This window comes from Homo sapiens, chromosome 3, assembly GCF_000001405.40.
Source record: "Homo sapiens chromosome 3, GRCh38.p14 Primary Assembly".
NCBI lineage: Eukaryota > Metazoa > Chordata > Mammalia > Primates > Hominidae > Homo > Homo sapiens.
The window spans coordinates 113,476,649-113,491,500 of NC_000003.12; the positions used below are offsets into that span (position 1 = coordinate 113,476,649).

Genomic DNA, 14,852 nt, shown 5'->3' on the forward strand with positions numbered 1-14,852 from the left:
ATCTTTGACAAACTTGAGAAAAACAAGCAATGGGGAAAGGATTCCCTATTTAATAAATGGTGCTGGGAAAACTGGCTAGCCATATGGAGAAAGCTGAAACTGGATCCCTTCCTTACACCTTATACAAAAATCAATTCAAGATGGATTAAAGACTTAAACGTTAGACCTAAAACCATAAAAACCCTAGAAGAAAACCTAGGCATTACCATTCAGGACATAGGCATGGGCAAGGACTTCATGTCTAAAACACCAAAAGCAATGGCAACAAAGCCAAAATTGACAAATGGGATCTAACTAAACTAAAGAGCTTCTGCACAGCAAAAGGAACTACCATCAGAGTGAACAGGCAACCTACAAAATGGGAGAAAATTTTCGCAACCTACTCATCTGACAAAGGGCTAATATCCAGAATCTACAAAGAACTCAAACAAATTTACAAGAAAAAAACAAACAACCCCATCAAAAAGTGGGCAAAGGACATGAACAGACACTTCTCAAAAGAAGACATTTATGCAGCCAAAAAAACACATGAAAAAATGCTCACCATCACTGGCCATCAGAGAAATGCAAATCAAAACCACAATGAGATATCATCTCACACCAGTTAGAATGGCAATCATTAAAAAGTCAGGAAACAACAGGTGCTGGAGAGGATGTGGAGAAGTAGGAACACTTTTACACTGTTGGTGGGACTGTAAACTAGTTCAACCATTGTGGAAGTCAGTGTGGCGATTCCTCAGGGATCTAGAACTAGAAATACCATTTGACCCAGCCATCCCATTGCTGGGTATATACCCAGAGGACTATAAATCATGCTGCTATAAAGACACATGCACACATATGTTTATTGTGGCACTATTCACAATAGCAAAGACTTGGAACCAACCCAAATGTCCAACAACGATAGACTGGATTAAGAAAATGTGGCACATATACACCATGGAATACTATGCAGCCTTAAAAAATGATAAGTTCATGTCCTTTGTAGGGACATGGATGAAACTGGAAATCATCATTCTCAGTAAACTATTGCAAGGACAAAAAACCAAACACCGCATGTTCTCACTCATAGGTGGGAACTGAACAATGAGAACACATGGACACAGGAAGGGGAACATCACACTCTGGGAACTGTTGTGGGATGGGGGGAGGGGGGAGGGATGGCATTAGGAGATATACCTAATGCTAAATGACAAGTTAATGGGTGCAGCACACCAGCATGGCACATGTATACATATGTAACTAACCTGCACATTGTGCACATGTACCCTAAAACTTAAAGTATAATAATAATAAAATAAAATAAAAAGAATCTGCCGAAAAAAAAGCATTAAAAAAAAATTTAACTGACATACCTGACAATGACATGTAAAAAAAAGAAAACAAGATTAAGGGCTCTATAAAAGGTATATATGCAAAGGTAACCACCAGAACAAAATTACAAACTTCCTAAATACCAAAAGAAATTTTTTAAAAGAACAGAGAAGAAACATCACATAGAAAATGAAATTATAGTACAATAAACAGTACTATAAAATAATGTGATGAAGTTAACATCAAACATATCAGTAAGTGTTATAAGCTTACTTCAATTAAAAGAAGAATATTTCCAAATTGTCTAACAAGGCAAGACTGAACTCTGCATTGTATACAAGAGACATACTTAATACAAAATAATTCCAGAAGGCTAAATATATTAAACATCTAAAATACAGAAAGCTAAATGTAAAAAGCCAAGATAAGCCAGGAAATTGGAAACAAGAAAAAAGTAGAGGTTTCATTCCTGATATTAGATGAAGTAGAAATGAAGTCAAAAGGTATTAAATGTGACAAAGCATACTTTATAATGCTAAAAGTTATAAATCACAATGAAGATATAACACTTATGTTCCAAAAAACATGGACCAAAAAACACAAGAATCACTTTTATAAGAAAGGAAGTATTTAACTCTGAACAATTAAATATACTTAAACAAAATGCAAAGAGAAATAGAAACATACTAGTAGTAGGAGACTTTAATACACCATTCTCAGAAGAAAAGAGTGGCAAAAATAAGTAAGGATACAAAAGTATTCAACAATATAATCAGTGAGGTAGATCTATGGATATATCTTTAGAACTTTATACCTTGTTAGAGTATATACCTTCTTCTCAGGCACACACATGGAACATTTGTAAAAATTTGATCATATATTAGGTCACAAAGAAAACATCAAGTTCCACAGGTAGAAATATTACAAATCACACTCTGAATGTAACGTAATAAAACTAGAAAAACAAAGAGGCTCTGGAAATTTTTTTTTAAATCTTCTATTAGACAATTTTTTAAAAAATTATTATTATACTTTAAGTTTTAGCGTACATGTGCACAATGTGCAAGTTAGTTACATATGTATACATGTGCCATGCTGGTGTGCTGCACCCATTAACTCGTCATTTAGCATTAGGTGTATCTCCTAATGCTATCCCTCCCCCCACCCCCCACCCCACAACAGTCGCCAGTGTGTGATGTTCCCCTTCCTGTGGCCATGTGTTCTCATTGTTCAATTCCCATCTATGAGTGAGAACATGTGGTGTTTGGTTTTTTGTCCTTGCGATAGTTTACTGAGAATGATGATTTCCAATTTCATCCATGTCCCTACAAAGGACATGAACTCATCATTTTTTATGGCTGCATAGTATTCCATGGTGTATATGTGCCACATTTTCTTAATCCAGGCTATCATTGTTGGACATTTGGGTTGGTTCCAAGTCTTTGCTATTGTGAATAGTGCCGCAATAAACATACGTGTGCATGTGTCTTTATAGCAGCATGATTTATAGTCCTCTGGGTATATACCCAGTAATGGGATGGCTGGGTCAAATGGTATTTCTAGTTCTAGATCCCTGAGGAATCGCCACACTGACTTCCACAATGGTTGAACTAGTTTACAGTCCCACCAACAGTGTAAAAATGTTCCTATTTCTCCACATCCTCTCCAGCACCTGTTGTTTCCTGACTTTTTAGACAATTCTTAAGTAAACATGAAAATATAAACTGAAATTACCTCATTCCTAAAGTAACAAAACACTACATACCAGAATGTATGGTACACATTTATAGTAGTGATCAGAGTAGAATTCAGAGCCCTAAACATGTTTATCAATTAAAAATAAAAGAATGAAAATGAATGTATTAAATTCTCAACTAGGGTTACTAGAAAAAGTAAACAAAAAAATGCACAACGAAGGAAATAAAGACAAAAGCAAAAATTGATGAGGAAGAAATCAGAAAACTAGACCTCTAACTAATAAATTAAAAATGTTAGTTCTTCAAAAATTCATAAAATAGGCAAACCACTAAATAACCTAATTTTAAAGAAAGAGAACCAAAATAAATGATTGAGGAGAACAAGTAAGCACTGAAACAAAATTTTTTAAGAAGTATAGAGATTATTGGCACATCTCTATAGAAATACATTGATTAACCTAGATGAAATGGAAAATTTCCTAAGAAAATATAACTTATAAAAATTGGCTTGAGAAGAAATAGAAGCTTAAATAAACAAGCAAAGTTACTATGGCACTTCCCCACAGAAAAAAAAAAAGCACCATGCGCAAATAGTTTCAAAGGAGGAAAGCTATCAGCCTCAAAAAACAGATAGTCTCAGTGCTATATAAATTGTTCCAGGACTTAAAAAATTAGAAAAATCTTCCAGATGGTTCTTATGAAATCAAGTACCGCATTGTTACTTCAATCTGATAAAGGCTGCAGACACAAAAAAACTACAGAGAATATCATTTATGAATTTTAACACAAGAATACTAAATAAAATATTAACAAACAACCTCCAATACTCCATTAATGAAAATAACACATCATGGCCAAATAGAATTTACTGCAGAAATGCAAGGATAGCGCAATATTAGGAAACTCATAACATAATGTACCATATTAAGAGACATAAGCAGAAAACTCATATGATTATCTCTATAGATATTGAAAAAGTCTGATAAAATTAACACTTATTACTGATTAAAATAAAACAATCAAGAAAACAAGAATTGATTGGCATTTCCTTAGCATTGTTTAAAAAAAAATGTATCTGGGTATGGTGTTTGCATGCCTGTAGTCCCGGCTACTAGAGGCTGAGGGAGGCTGAGGTGAGAGGCTGAGGTGAGAGGATTACCTGAGCTGTGATCACACCACTGCACTCTGGCCAGGGTGACAGAGTGAGATCCTGTCTCAAAAAAGACTAAAAATAACAATGATTTTAAAAATTTAAAGAAAGAAAGAAAGAAAAAAGACCTCAGTACTAAAGCCAATACCTTACTTAAGAGGAAACAATAGAAGCATTTTCATACAATCAGAAACAAGGCAAGGATCCCCACTATCTCCATTATTATTGAACACTGTCCTATAACTAATAAAATATACAAAAGAAACCAATTAGAGGTGAAAGACTTAGATAACAAGGAAAACAATGTCTATTTGCAGATGAGATGACAGTCAACCTAGGAACCCCTAGAAAATCAGTGCTAAAACTAATTCAACCAAGATTCAATAAAGTAGCAGAATATCAAGGCAACACATGGAAATCAGTAACTTTCATAAAAACAAAGAATAACTAGTTAGGAGGTATAATGGAAGACAAAATTCCATTTAAAAGAATAACAAAAGCCCCAAAACACTTAGGAATAAACTCAGTAAGAAATAAGCAAACTCTATATGAGAGAAATGTTAAGACGCTGTTGAAAAACAGAAAAGTAGACTTTTTTTTTTCTAGTTTTTTTTTTATTATTATACTTTAAGTTCTGGGGTATATGTGCAGAACGTGCAGTTTTGTTACATAGGTATACACGTCCCATAGTGGTTTGCTGCACCCATCAACCTGTCACCTACATTAGGTATTTCTCCTAACGCTATCCCTCCCCTAGCCCCCCCAACCCTCCAACAGGCCCCGGTGTGTGATGTTCCCCTCCCTGTGTCCGTGTGTTCTCATTGTTCAACTCCCACTTATGAGTAAGAACACACAGTGTTTGGTTTTCTGTTCTTATGTTAGTTTGCTGAGAATTATGGTTTCCAGCTTCATCCATGTCCCTGCAAAGGACATGAACTCATCTTTTTTATGGCTGCATAGTATTCCATGCTATATATGTGCCACATTTTCTTTATCCAGTCTATCATTGATGGGCACATGGGTTGGTTCCAAGTCTCTGTTATTGTGAATAGTGATGCAATAAACATATGTGTCCATGTGTCTGTATAGAATGATTTATAATCCTTTGGGTATATACCCAGTAATGGGATTGCTGGGTCAAATGGTATTTCTAGTTCTAGATCCTTGAGGAATCGCCACACTGTCTTCCACAATGGTTGAACTAATTTACACTCCCACCAACAGTGTAAAAGCATTCTTATTGCTCCACATCCTTTCTAGCATCTGTTATTTCCTGACTTTTTAATGATCGCCATTCTAACTGGCGTGAGATGGTATCTCATTGTGGTTTTGATTTGCATTCTCTGATGACCAGTGATGATGAGCTTTTTTTCGTATGTTTTTTGGCTGCATAAATGTCTTATTTGAGAAGTGTCTGTTCATATCCTCCACCTACTTTTTGATGGGGTTGTTTTTTTCTTGTAAATTTGTTTAAGTTCTTTGTAGATTCTGGATACTAGCCCTTTGTCAAATAGATAGATTGCAAAAATTTTCTCCCATTCTGTAGATTACCTGTTCACCATGATCACAGTTTCTTTTGCTGTGCAGGAGCTCTTTAGTTTAATTAGATCCTCTTTGTCAATTTTGGCTTTTGTTGCCGTTGCTTTTGGAGTTTTAGACCTGAAGCCTTTGTGTATGCCTATGTCCTGAATGGTACTGCCTAGGTTTTCTTCTAGGATTTTTTATGGTTTCAGGTCTTACGTTTAACTCTTTAATCCATCTTGAGTTAATTTTTGTATAAGGTGTAAGGAAGAAGCCTAGTTTCAGTTTTCTGCATATGGCTAGCCAGTTTTCCCAACATCATTTATTAAATAAGGAATCCTTTCCCTATTGTTTGTCTTGGGTTTGTCAAAGGTCAGATGGTTGTAGATGTGTGGTGTATTTCTGAGGGCTCTGTTCTGTTCCATTGGTCTACATATCTGTTTTGGTACCAGTACCATGCTGTTTTGGTTACTGCAGCCTTGTAGTATAGTTTGAATTCAGGTAGTGTGATGACTCCAGCTTTGTTCTTTTTGCTTAGGATTGTCTTGGCTATGCAGGCTCTTTTTTGGCTCCATAAGAAGTTTAAAGTAGTTTTTTCTAATTCTGTGAAGAAAGCCAATGGTAGCTTGATGGGGATAGCATTGAATCTATAAATTACTTTGGGCAGTATGGCCATTTTCATGATATTGAGTCTTCCTATCCATGAGCATGGAATGTTTTTCCATTTGTTTGTGTCGTCTCTTATTTCCTTGAGCAGTGGCTTGTAGTTCTCCTTGAAGAGGTCCTTCACATCCCTTGTAAGTTGGATTCCTAGGTATTTTATTCTCTTAGTAGCAATTGTGAATGGGAGTTCACTCATGATTTGGCTCTCTGTTTGTCTGTTATTGGTGTATAAGAATGCTTGTGATTTTTGCACACTGATTTTGTATCCTGAGACTTTGCTGAAGTTGCTTATCAGCTTAAGGAGATTTTGGGCTGAGACGATGGTGTTTTCTAAATATACAATCATGTCATCTGCAAACAGAGACAGTTTGACTTCCTCTTTTCCTACTTGAATGCCCTTTATTTCTGTCTCTTGCCTGATTGTCATGGCCAGAACTTCCAATACTATGTTGAATAGGAGTTGTGAGAGAGGGCATCCTTGCCTTTTGCCTTGCCCATCCAGTATTCTATTGGCTGTGGGTTGGTCACAAATAGCTCTTATTATTTTGAGATATGTTCCACCGATACCTAGTTTATTGAATTTTTAGCATGAAGGGGTGTTGAATTTTGTCAAAGGCCTTTTCTGCATCTATTAGGTTAATCATGTGATTTTTGTCTTTGGTTCTGTTTATGTGATGGATTACATTTATTTTTTTGCATATGCTGAACCAGCCTTGCATCCCAGGGATGAAGCCAACTTGATTGTGGTGGATAAGCTTTTTGATGTGCTGCTGGATTCCATTTGCCAGTATTTTATTGAGGATTTTTGCATCGATGTTCATCAGGGATATTGGCCTGAAATTTTCTTTTTTTGTTGTGTCTCTGCCAGGATTTGGTATCAGGATGATGCTGGCCTCATAAAATGATTTAGGGAGGATTCCCTCTTTTTCTATTGTTTGGAATAGTTTCAGAAGGAGTGGTACCAGCTTCTCTTTGTACCTCTGGTAGAACTCGGCTGTGAATCTGCCTGGTCCTGGACTTTTTTTGGTTGGTAGGCTATTAATTACTGCCTCAATTTCAGAACTTGTTATTGGTCTATTCAGGGATTCGACTTCTTCTGGTTTAGACTTGGGAGGGTGTATGTGTCCAGGAATTTATCCATTTCTTCTAGATTTTATCCATTTCTAGTTTATTTGCATAGAGGTGTTTATAGTATTCTGATGGTAGTTTGTATTTCTGTGGGATCAGTGGTGATATCCCCTTTATCATTTTTTATTGTGTCTATTTGATTCTTCTCTCTTTTTTTCTTTATTAGTCTGGCTACCAGTCTATTTTGTTGATCTTTTCAAAAAACCAGCTCCTGGATTCATTGATTTTTTGAAGGGTTTTTCATGTCTCTATCCCCTTCAGTTCTGCTTTGATCTTAGTTATTTCTTGTCTTCTGCTAACTTTTGAATTTGTTTGCTCTTGCTTCTCTAGTTCTTTTAATTGTGATGTTAGGTGTCAATTTTAGATCTTTCCTGCTTTCTCTTGTGGGCATTTAGTGCTATAAATTTCCCTCTACACACTGCTTTAAATGTGTCCCAGAGATTCTGGTATGTTGTGTCTTTGTTCTCTCTGGTTTCAAGGAACATCTTTATTTCTGCCTTCATTTAGTTATGTACCCAGTAGTCATTCAGGAGCAGGTTGTTCAGTTTCCACGTAGTTGTGCGGTTTTGAGTGAGTTTCTTAATCCTGATTTCTAATTTGATTGCACTGTGGTCGGAGAGACTGTTTGTTATGATTTCCATTCTTTTGCATTTGCTGAGGAGTGTTTTACTCAATTTCAGAAAAAGTACGATGAGGTACTGAGAAGAATGTATATTCTGTTGATTTGGGGTGGAGAGTTCTGTAGATGTCTATTAAGTCTGCTTGGTCCAGAGCTGAGTTCAAGTCCTGAATATCCTTTTTAATTTTCTGTCTCATCGATCTGTCTAATACTGACCATAAAGTGTTAAAGTCTCCCCTACCCAAGGGAATCCAGGAGGGACTGAGCCTGAGGAACCTTGCACTCTGACCCAGATACTGTGCTTTTCCCACAGTCTTCGCAACCCGCAGGCCAAGAGACTCCCTCCAGTGCCTACCCCAGCAGGGTCCTGGGTTTCAAGCACAAAACTAGGGGGCCGTTTGGGCAGACACCAAACTAGCTGCAGGAGTTTTGTTTGTTTTTTTTTTTTTTTCCATACCACAGTGGCGCCTAGAACGCCAGAGAGACAGAACTGTTCACTCCCCTGGAAAGGGGGCTGAAGCTAGGCAGCCAAGTGGTCTGGCTCAGCGGGTCCCACACCACGGAGCCCAGCAAACTAAGATCCACTGACTTGAAATTCTTGCTGCCAACACAGCAGCAATCTGAGATCAACCTGGGACGCTCGAGCTTGGTGGGGGAAGGGGCAGCTGCCATTGCTGAGGCTTGAGTAGGTGGTTTTACACTCACAGTGTAAACAAAGCCACCAGGAAGTTCAAACTGGGTGGAGCCTACCGAAGCTCAGCAAAGCTGCTGCGGCCAGACTGCCAGATTTCTCCTCAATGGGCAGAACATGTCTGGAAAAAAAAGCAGCAGCCCCAGTCAGGGACTTATAAATAAAACCCCCATCTCCCTGGGACAGAGCACCTGGGAGAAGGGGCGGCTGTGGGCACAGCTTCATCAGACTTAAACATCTATGCCTGACGGCTCTGAAGAAAGCAGCGGACCTTTTAACAAATGGAAAAATATACTATGTTCTTGAATAGCAAAATTCAACGTCATAAAGATGCCAGTTCTCTCTAGTTAATTTAATAATAAAACATGGAATACTATGCAGCCATAAAAAGGAATTAAATCATGTCCTTTGCAGGGACATGGATGGAGCTGGATGCCATTATCCTCAGCAAACCAACACAGAAAACAAAACACCACATGTCCCGCTTTTAAGTGGGAACTGAACAATGTAGTCTCTAATAAAAATACAAAATTAGCCAGGCCTGGTGGCGCATGCCTGTAATCCAGTTTCCTGGGAGGCTGAAGCAGGAGAATCACTTGAACCTGGGATGTGGAGGTTGCAGTGAGCCAAGATGGCGACACTGCACTCCAGCCTGGGCAACAGAATGAGACTCCATCTCAAAAAATGAAAAATAAAATAAAATACTGAAAATAACCTAAATGACCATATATATATATATATAGTATATCAAATATACTGTAGTTTATTTGACCATTCTCATATATATATATATATATATATGCCCACAAGAGAAAGCAGGAAAGATCTAAAATTGACACCTAACATCACAATTAAAAGAACTAGAGAAGCAAGAGCAAACAAATTCAAAAGTTAGCAGAAGACAAGAAATAACTAAGATCAAAGCAGAACTGAAGGGGATAGAGACATGAAAAACCCTTCAAAAAATCAATGAATCCAGGAGCTGGTTTTTTGAAAAGATCAACAAAATAGACTGGTAGCCAGACTAATAAAGAAAAAAAGAGAGAAGAATCAAATAGACACAATAAAAAATGATAATATATATATATGAGAATGGTCAAATAAACTACAGTACATTCACACAATTTAGTACTATCCAACTGTTTCATTTTATTATAAAAATGAAGAAAAAAATACCTGTGTAAACTTATGAACAGCTATGGGGAGATTTCCAGGATATATCATTAAGTGGTAAAAGCAAATATAAATGGATATGTTAATTACCCCAATCTGATTACTATACATTATATGTATCAAAACATCTATGTACCTCATGAACATGCACATTTATTGTCAATTAAAGTAAAAGAAAAGCAAATATAGTACGTTACCTTTTATATAAGAAGAGAAAATAAGGAGTATGTTATCTTTTATATAAGAGAAAATAAGGAGATATATATATATATATATATATCTGCTTACATTTATAAAAAGAAACACAGAAAGAATAAATTTAAAAACTAAGGAAACTGATCACCTACAAGGGTAAGTGTAGACGGGAACTAGTTAGAAGGGATAGGGGATGGTGACTGACACTACCCTGAAAACAGCTTTTTGTATAATTTTGTCAAAAAGAGAGGTAAAAACCTAAAATTGAATACAAATAGAAGCAAATGAACCTAATTATATTTCAAATGAATACAATAACCTTTTAGAAATCTGCAAACAATCTTGAACTCTACTTAGCAGGTTTATTTTTGCAGTAGTATGGGCGCAGCAATTCCAAAACTATTTTCTATGTATTGCAGGATTGAATATGAATAAATATACTTGTGTAATGTTTGGAGACATGCTGCTCAGTGTTAAAGAAGAGTGATACAAATGTGGAATAAGAAGACCAAGATAAAACCAATAGTGTTAAATTGGACTTAGAGGTATCACTGTAAATTCATGATTTATAGCTAAATAGACAGAAAACTAGATACTAATATAGATATGTTCATATACATATGACTATAGGTATATATATGTATGTGTGCATATATATGTATCTGTTGGTCTAAAAACAATGACTGCCAAGTGCAATAAACGCATCTAATACTTAGAGCTTGGTTTTTAAATACCCTTCTTTAATAAAATGAGCTAAGGATTCTTGAAGAAATGGTTGATTCCAGGGAAGAGAAAGTATAATAAGAGCTATGTTGTGCCAGAAATTAAACATTAAAGAAGATACGTTAAAAGGACACAGGAATTACTTGAAGAAGCTCCCAAATATGTGACAAATAAACATCAAAATAAATAAAAGATAAAACAGTATAATCCATTGAAGGAACGTGGCAGACATCACTGTAACCAAATGATGAAAGTTAACAGCACCAATAATTAAACCAAGGTGTCACTGCCTCTTGATATGACACATTGAGGACTTAACATCACTTTAGGGATATTCCTGCCCAAAATGCATAAGTAAGCTGAGTCTAATAATGAAGAACTTATAAGACAAAGTCAAACTAGAGGGAATTCTGTAAAATAACTGCCCTGTACTTCTTCAAAACTATAAAAATGTCATAAAAGGCAAAGAAACACTAAGATTAGATTTTAGAAGATTCCAGGTTTTTTTTAAAAATGAAAAGACATGAAAACTAAATATAATAAGTGATTACGATTAGTTCTTCAATCATCCAAAAAACAAAATAAACATTACTGTGACAACTGGAGAAATCTAAATAAGGTCTATGGATTAGATAATAGTGTTAAATCAATGTAATTTCCTGATTGTGATCATTGTACTGTGATTTTATCTGAATGAATGCTCTTTTTCTTGGGAACCACACACTGAATTATTTAGGGATAAAGGAACATGAAGCATGCAACTTACTTCCTAATAGTTCTTTAAAAATGTATGTTAGTCAACTGCAAAAATATGGAACCAAACTAAGTGCCCAACGACCAATGAGTGGATAAAGAAAATGTGGTATAGACACACCATGGAATACTACTCAGCCACTCACACACAAAAAAAATAATAATGTATTTTGCAACAACTTGGATGGAGCTGGAGACCATTATTCTAAGTGAAGTAACTGAGGAATGGAAAACCAAATACCACATGTTCTTACTTGCTAAGGAGCTAAGCTATGGATATGCAAAGGCATACAGAGTGATATAACAAACTTTGGAGACTCAGAAGGGGGAGGGCGGGAGGTAGGTGCGGAATAAAAAACTGCATATTGGGTACAATGTATATTACTCAGGCGACTGGTGCTCATGTGCATGCATGCATGTGTGTGCATACTCAGAAAGGAGATAAAATGATAAAAGAAATGTGGAAAACATTAATAATTGATGAATCTGAGTAAAGAGTATACAAGAGCTTTTTATATTATCCCTGCAAATTATTTGGAAATACCAAAATAAACAAATTTTTAAATAAAAATAAACTCCCATTTAATAAAAAATGATGCAATAGGCAAACATTGAAATGGCCATGGAAAAAACCTGAGAGTTGTAAATATTTATGCCATATACACATACCTGTCTGTATTCGTGTTAGACTGAGAGTTTAGAGAGTTATCCAACTCATTCTCATTCTCACTTTCTCCTGACTGGCTATTAACAGTTCCTTCTTCTTCACCATCTACATCATTAAGAGCCTGTCTCAACACAACAATAAAAATAGCACAAGTTGATTATATATATACTCAGACTTTCTTTTTTTTTTTCTGTCATAACAGAAGAGAGTTCCCTCCTCCTAAGCCCTCCACATGTTGTAGAACACAAATCTTCTCACATCCTTCCACTACTATCAATTATCCTATCTCTCTACCACATTTTCAACATCTGTCTCTGTAGTGGCTTCAGTTCACCAACATTTAAATGTGAGCAAGCCTCTCCCATCTTAACCTGACCCTATACTTACCTTAAGCTATATATATCTTCTTTCTTCTACCACCAAACTTCTTGAAAGAGTTGTTCCACCCTCCTCACTCACCACCTATGCCCTGCAACTTTGCTTCTTCTGCCCTATTGCTCTACTCAAACTGCTCTCTACAAGGTCAACCTCAACACACTTATTTCTAACTCAAATGGATATTTCTGTCTTTGCCTTCCCTTACTTCTCTGACCACTCATTTCTTTCCTTTAAAATCCACTTGGCCAGGTGTGGTGGCTCATGCCTAAAACTCTAGCACTTTGGGAGGCCAAGGCAAGTGGATCACTTGAGCCCAGGTGTTGAAGACCAGCCTGAACAACATGGCGAAACCATGTCTCTACAAAAAAATTTAAAAATTAGCCAGGTGAGGTAGCCCACACCTGTAGTCTCAGCTAGTCAGGAGGCTGAGGAGGGAGAATAACCTGAGCCCAGGAAGGTCGAGGCTGCAGTGAGTTGTGATCGTGCCACTGCATTCCAGCCTGGGCAACAGAGCAAGACCCTGTCTCAAAAAAAAAAAAAAAAAAAAAACGCTACTTGATACACTTGTTTTAACTCCCATAATACTGTATTTTCTTAGATTTTCTCCTACTCTTCTGGCCATTCCTTCCCAATCTCCTTTACTGATCTTATTTTTCTACCCTTTCCTTGTATCTGATGATGTGACTCAAGTCACATCACACCTACTAAGTAAGCACTCAATAAATTTTAGCTATTATTATCCAGTCTTATCTTGTTTGGTACAAACGTTACTCACAGGAAGTGCAATACACTTAAGTAAAAGCAAATCTAGCAACCACAACTAGCATTTGTTGATATTTAAACTTTTAAAATATTTACCAAAAGGCCTATATCAACCTTTTCTCCCCTCATCTGATCCACTTTCTGAATGTTTTTATCTAATTCCAAAGCTGTAATTACAAATGAAATGCTATTAATTTCCAAACCTCTATCTTCACACCCAGATCTGTCCTAAGCCCCAGACATTCATATTCAACTGCCTATAAGATATCTCTATTCTGGCCAGACACAGTGGCTCATTTCTGTAATCCTAGCATTTTAAGAGGGCAAGGCAGGAGGATCATGTGAGCCCAAGAGTTTGAGACCAGCTTGGGCAACGTGGCAAAACCCCGTCTCCACCAAAAACACAAAAATTAGGCAGGCTTGGTGGCGTGCACCTGTGGTCTCACCTACTCAAGAGGCTGAGGCAGGAGGATTGCTTGAGCCCAGGAGGTAGAGGCTGCAGTGAGTCATGATTGTGCCACTGCATTCCAGCCTGGGTGACACAGCAAGACCCCATCTCAAAAAAGAAAAAAAAAAATCCCTACTCAATAGGTCCAAGCTGAACAGCTTTCTAAGCCCTCCAACCATTCTTCCAGAAACTTTGTTCCTGCCAATATTACCTAAGACCATGAACAGTGTCACCATCTACTCAAATGCTCAAGCCAGCAAATGAGGAGTTATCCTTCTTTCTCACTTGTCCTGTCCTATCGGCCACCGAATCCTGCCAACTCTACCTCATTTTAACCACTCTCAAGTCTATCCCTATTCTCCTCTATTTCCTTCCCTATTGGCATGGCTTTGGGTCAGGCCCTCACCACTTCTAAGATGCCCACCTAAGTCTTCTAACCAGACCCTCTCTCCAGTCTTGTCCCTCCCCAATCCATCTTCCACACTATACTGGATCTCATCATGACTCCACTCTTTAAAATCCTTCAGTGACTCTACTTTTACTTTCCAGTCCTTAGTCCTTCAGGACCTAGGTCCTACTTGTCTCTCTAACCTCAACTCCTGCTATTTCCCTAATCCAATGACAGAGACATGCCTTAATCATCTATGTATCTTAGCATCTAGTGCATGATCTGAAATATTACATGATGAATAAGTGAGTAGGTTTAGTCTCACTAATTCCTATATGGATGAAGAAACTAGGACCCAGAGAACTTAAGTAATGCAGTTACAATTCATTTTTTCTTGGTGACTCAAGATTATCTATAGCAGGCCGGGCGTGGTGGCTCACGCCTGTAATCCCAGCACTTTGGGAGGCCGAGGCGGGCGGATCACAAGGTCAGGAGATCGAGACCATCCTGGATAACATGGTGAAACCCCGTCTCTACTAAAAAATACAAAAAAAAAATTAGCCGGGCATGGTGGCAGGCGCC

General features: G+C 37.1%; 1 protein-coding gene and 1 long non-coding RNA gene across 17 annotated transcripts in view; both read right to left on the minus strand.

The window, feature by feature from the left end:
* SPICE1-CFAP44 (SPICE1-CFAP44 readthrough (NMD candidate)) overlaps window positions 1-14,852 on the minus strand; it is a 228,227-nt gene that overhangs the window by 189,719 nt on the left and 23,656 nt on the right. For all 12 annotated transcript variants that reach the window (NR_183046.1, NR_183045.1, NR_183050.1 and 9 more), the window contains one exon: window positions 12,297-12,415. This is a non-coding gene — a long non-coding RNA (SPICE1-CFAP44 readthrough (NMD candidate)). The remainder of the gene's footprint in view (window positions 1-12,296; window positions 12,416-14,852) is intronic.
* Window positions 1-14,852, minus strand: part of SPICE1 (spindle and centriole associated protein 1) — a 72,439-nt gene that overhangs the window by 33,931 nt on the left and 23,656 nt on the right. For all 5 annotated transcript variants that reach the window (NR_170870.1, NM_001331078.2, NM_144718.4 and 2 more), the window contains exon 7: window positions 12,297-12,415. Coding sequence is in view for 4 of the 5 variants with exons in the window: in NM_001331078.2 (NP_001318007.1) it covers window positions 12,297-12,415 (119 nt within the window). In the remaining variant the exon portion in view is untranslated. The remainder of the gene's footprint in view (window positions 1-12,296; window positions 12,416-14,852) is intronic.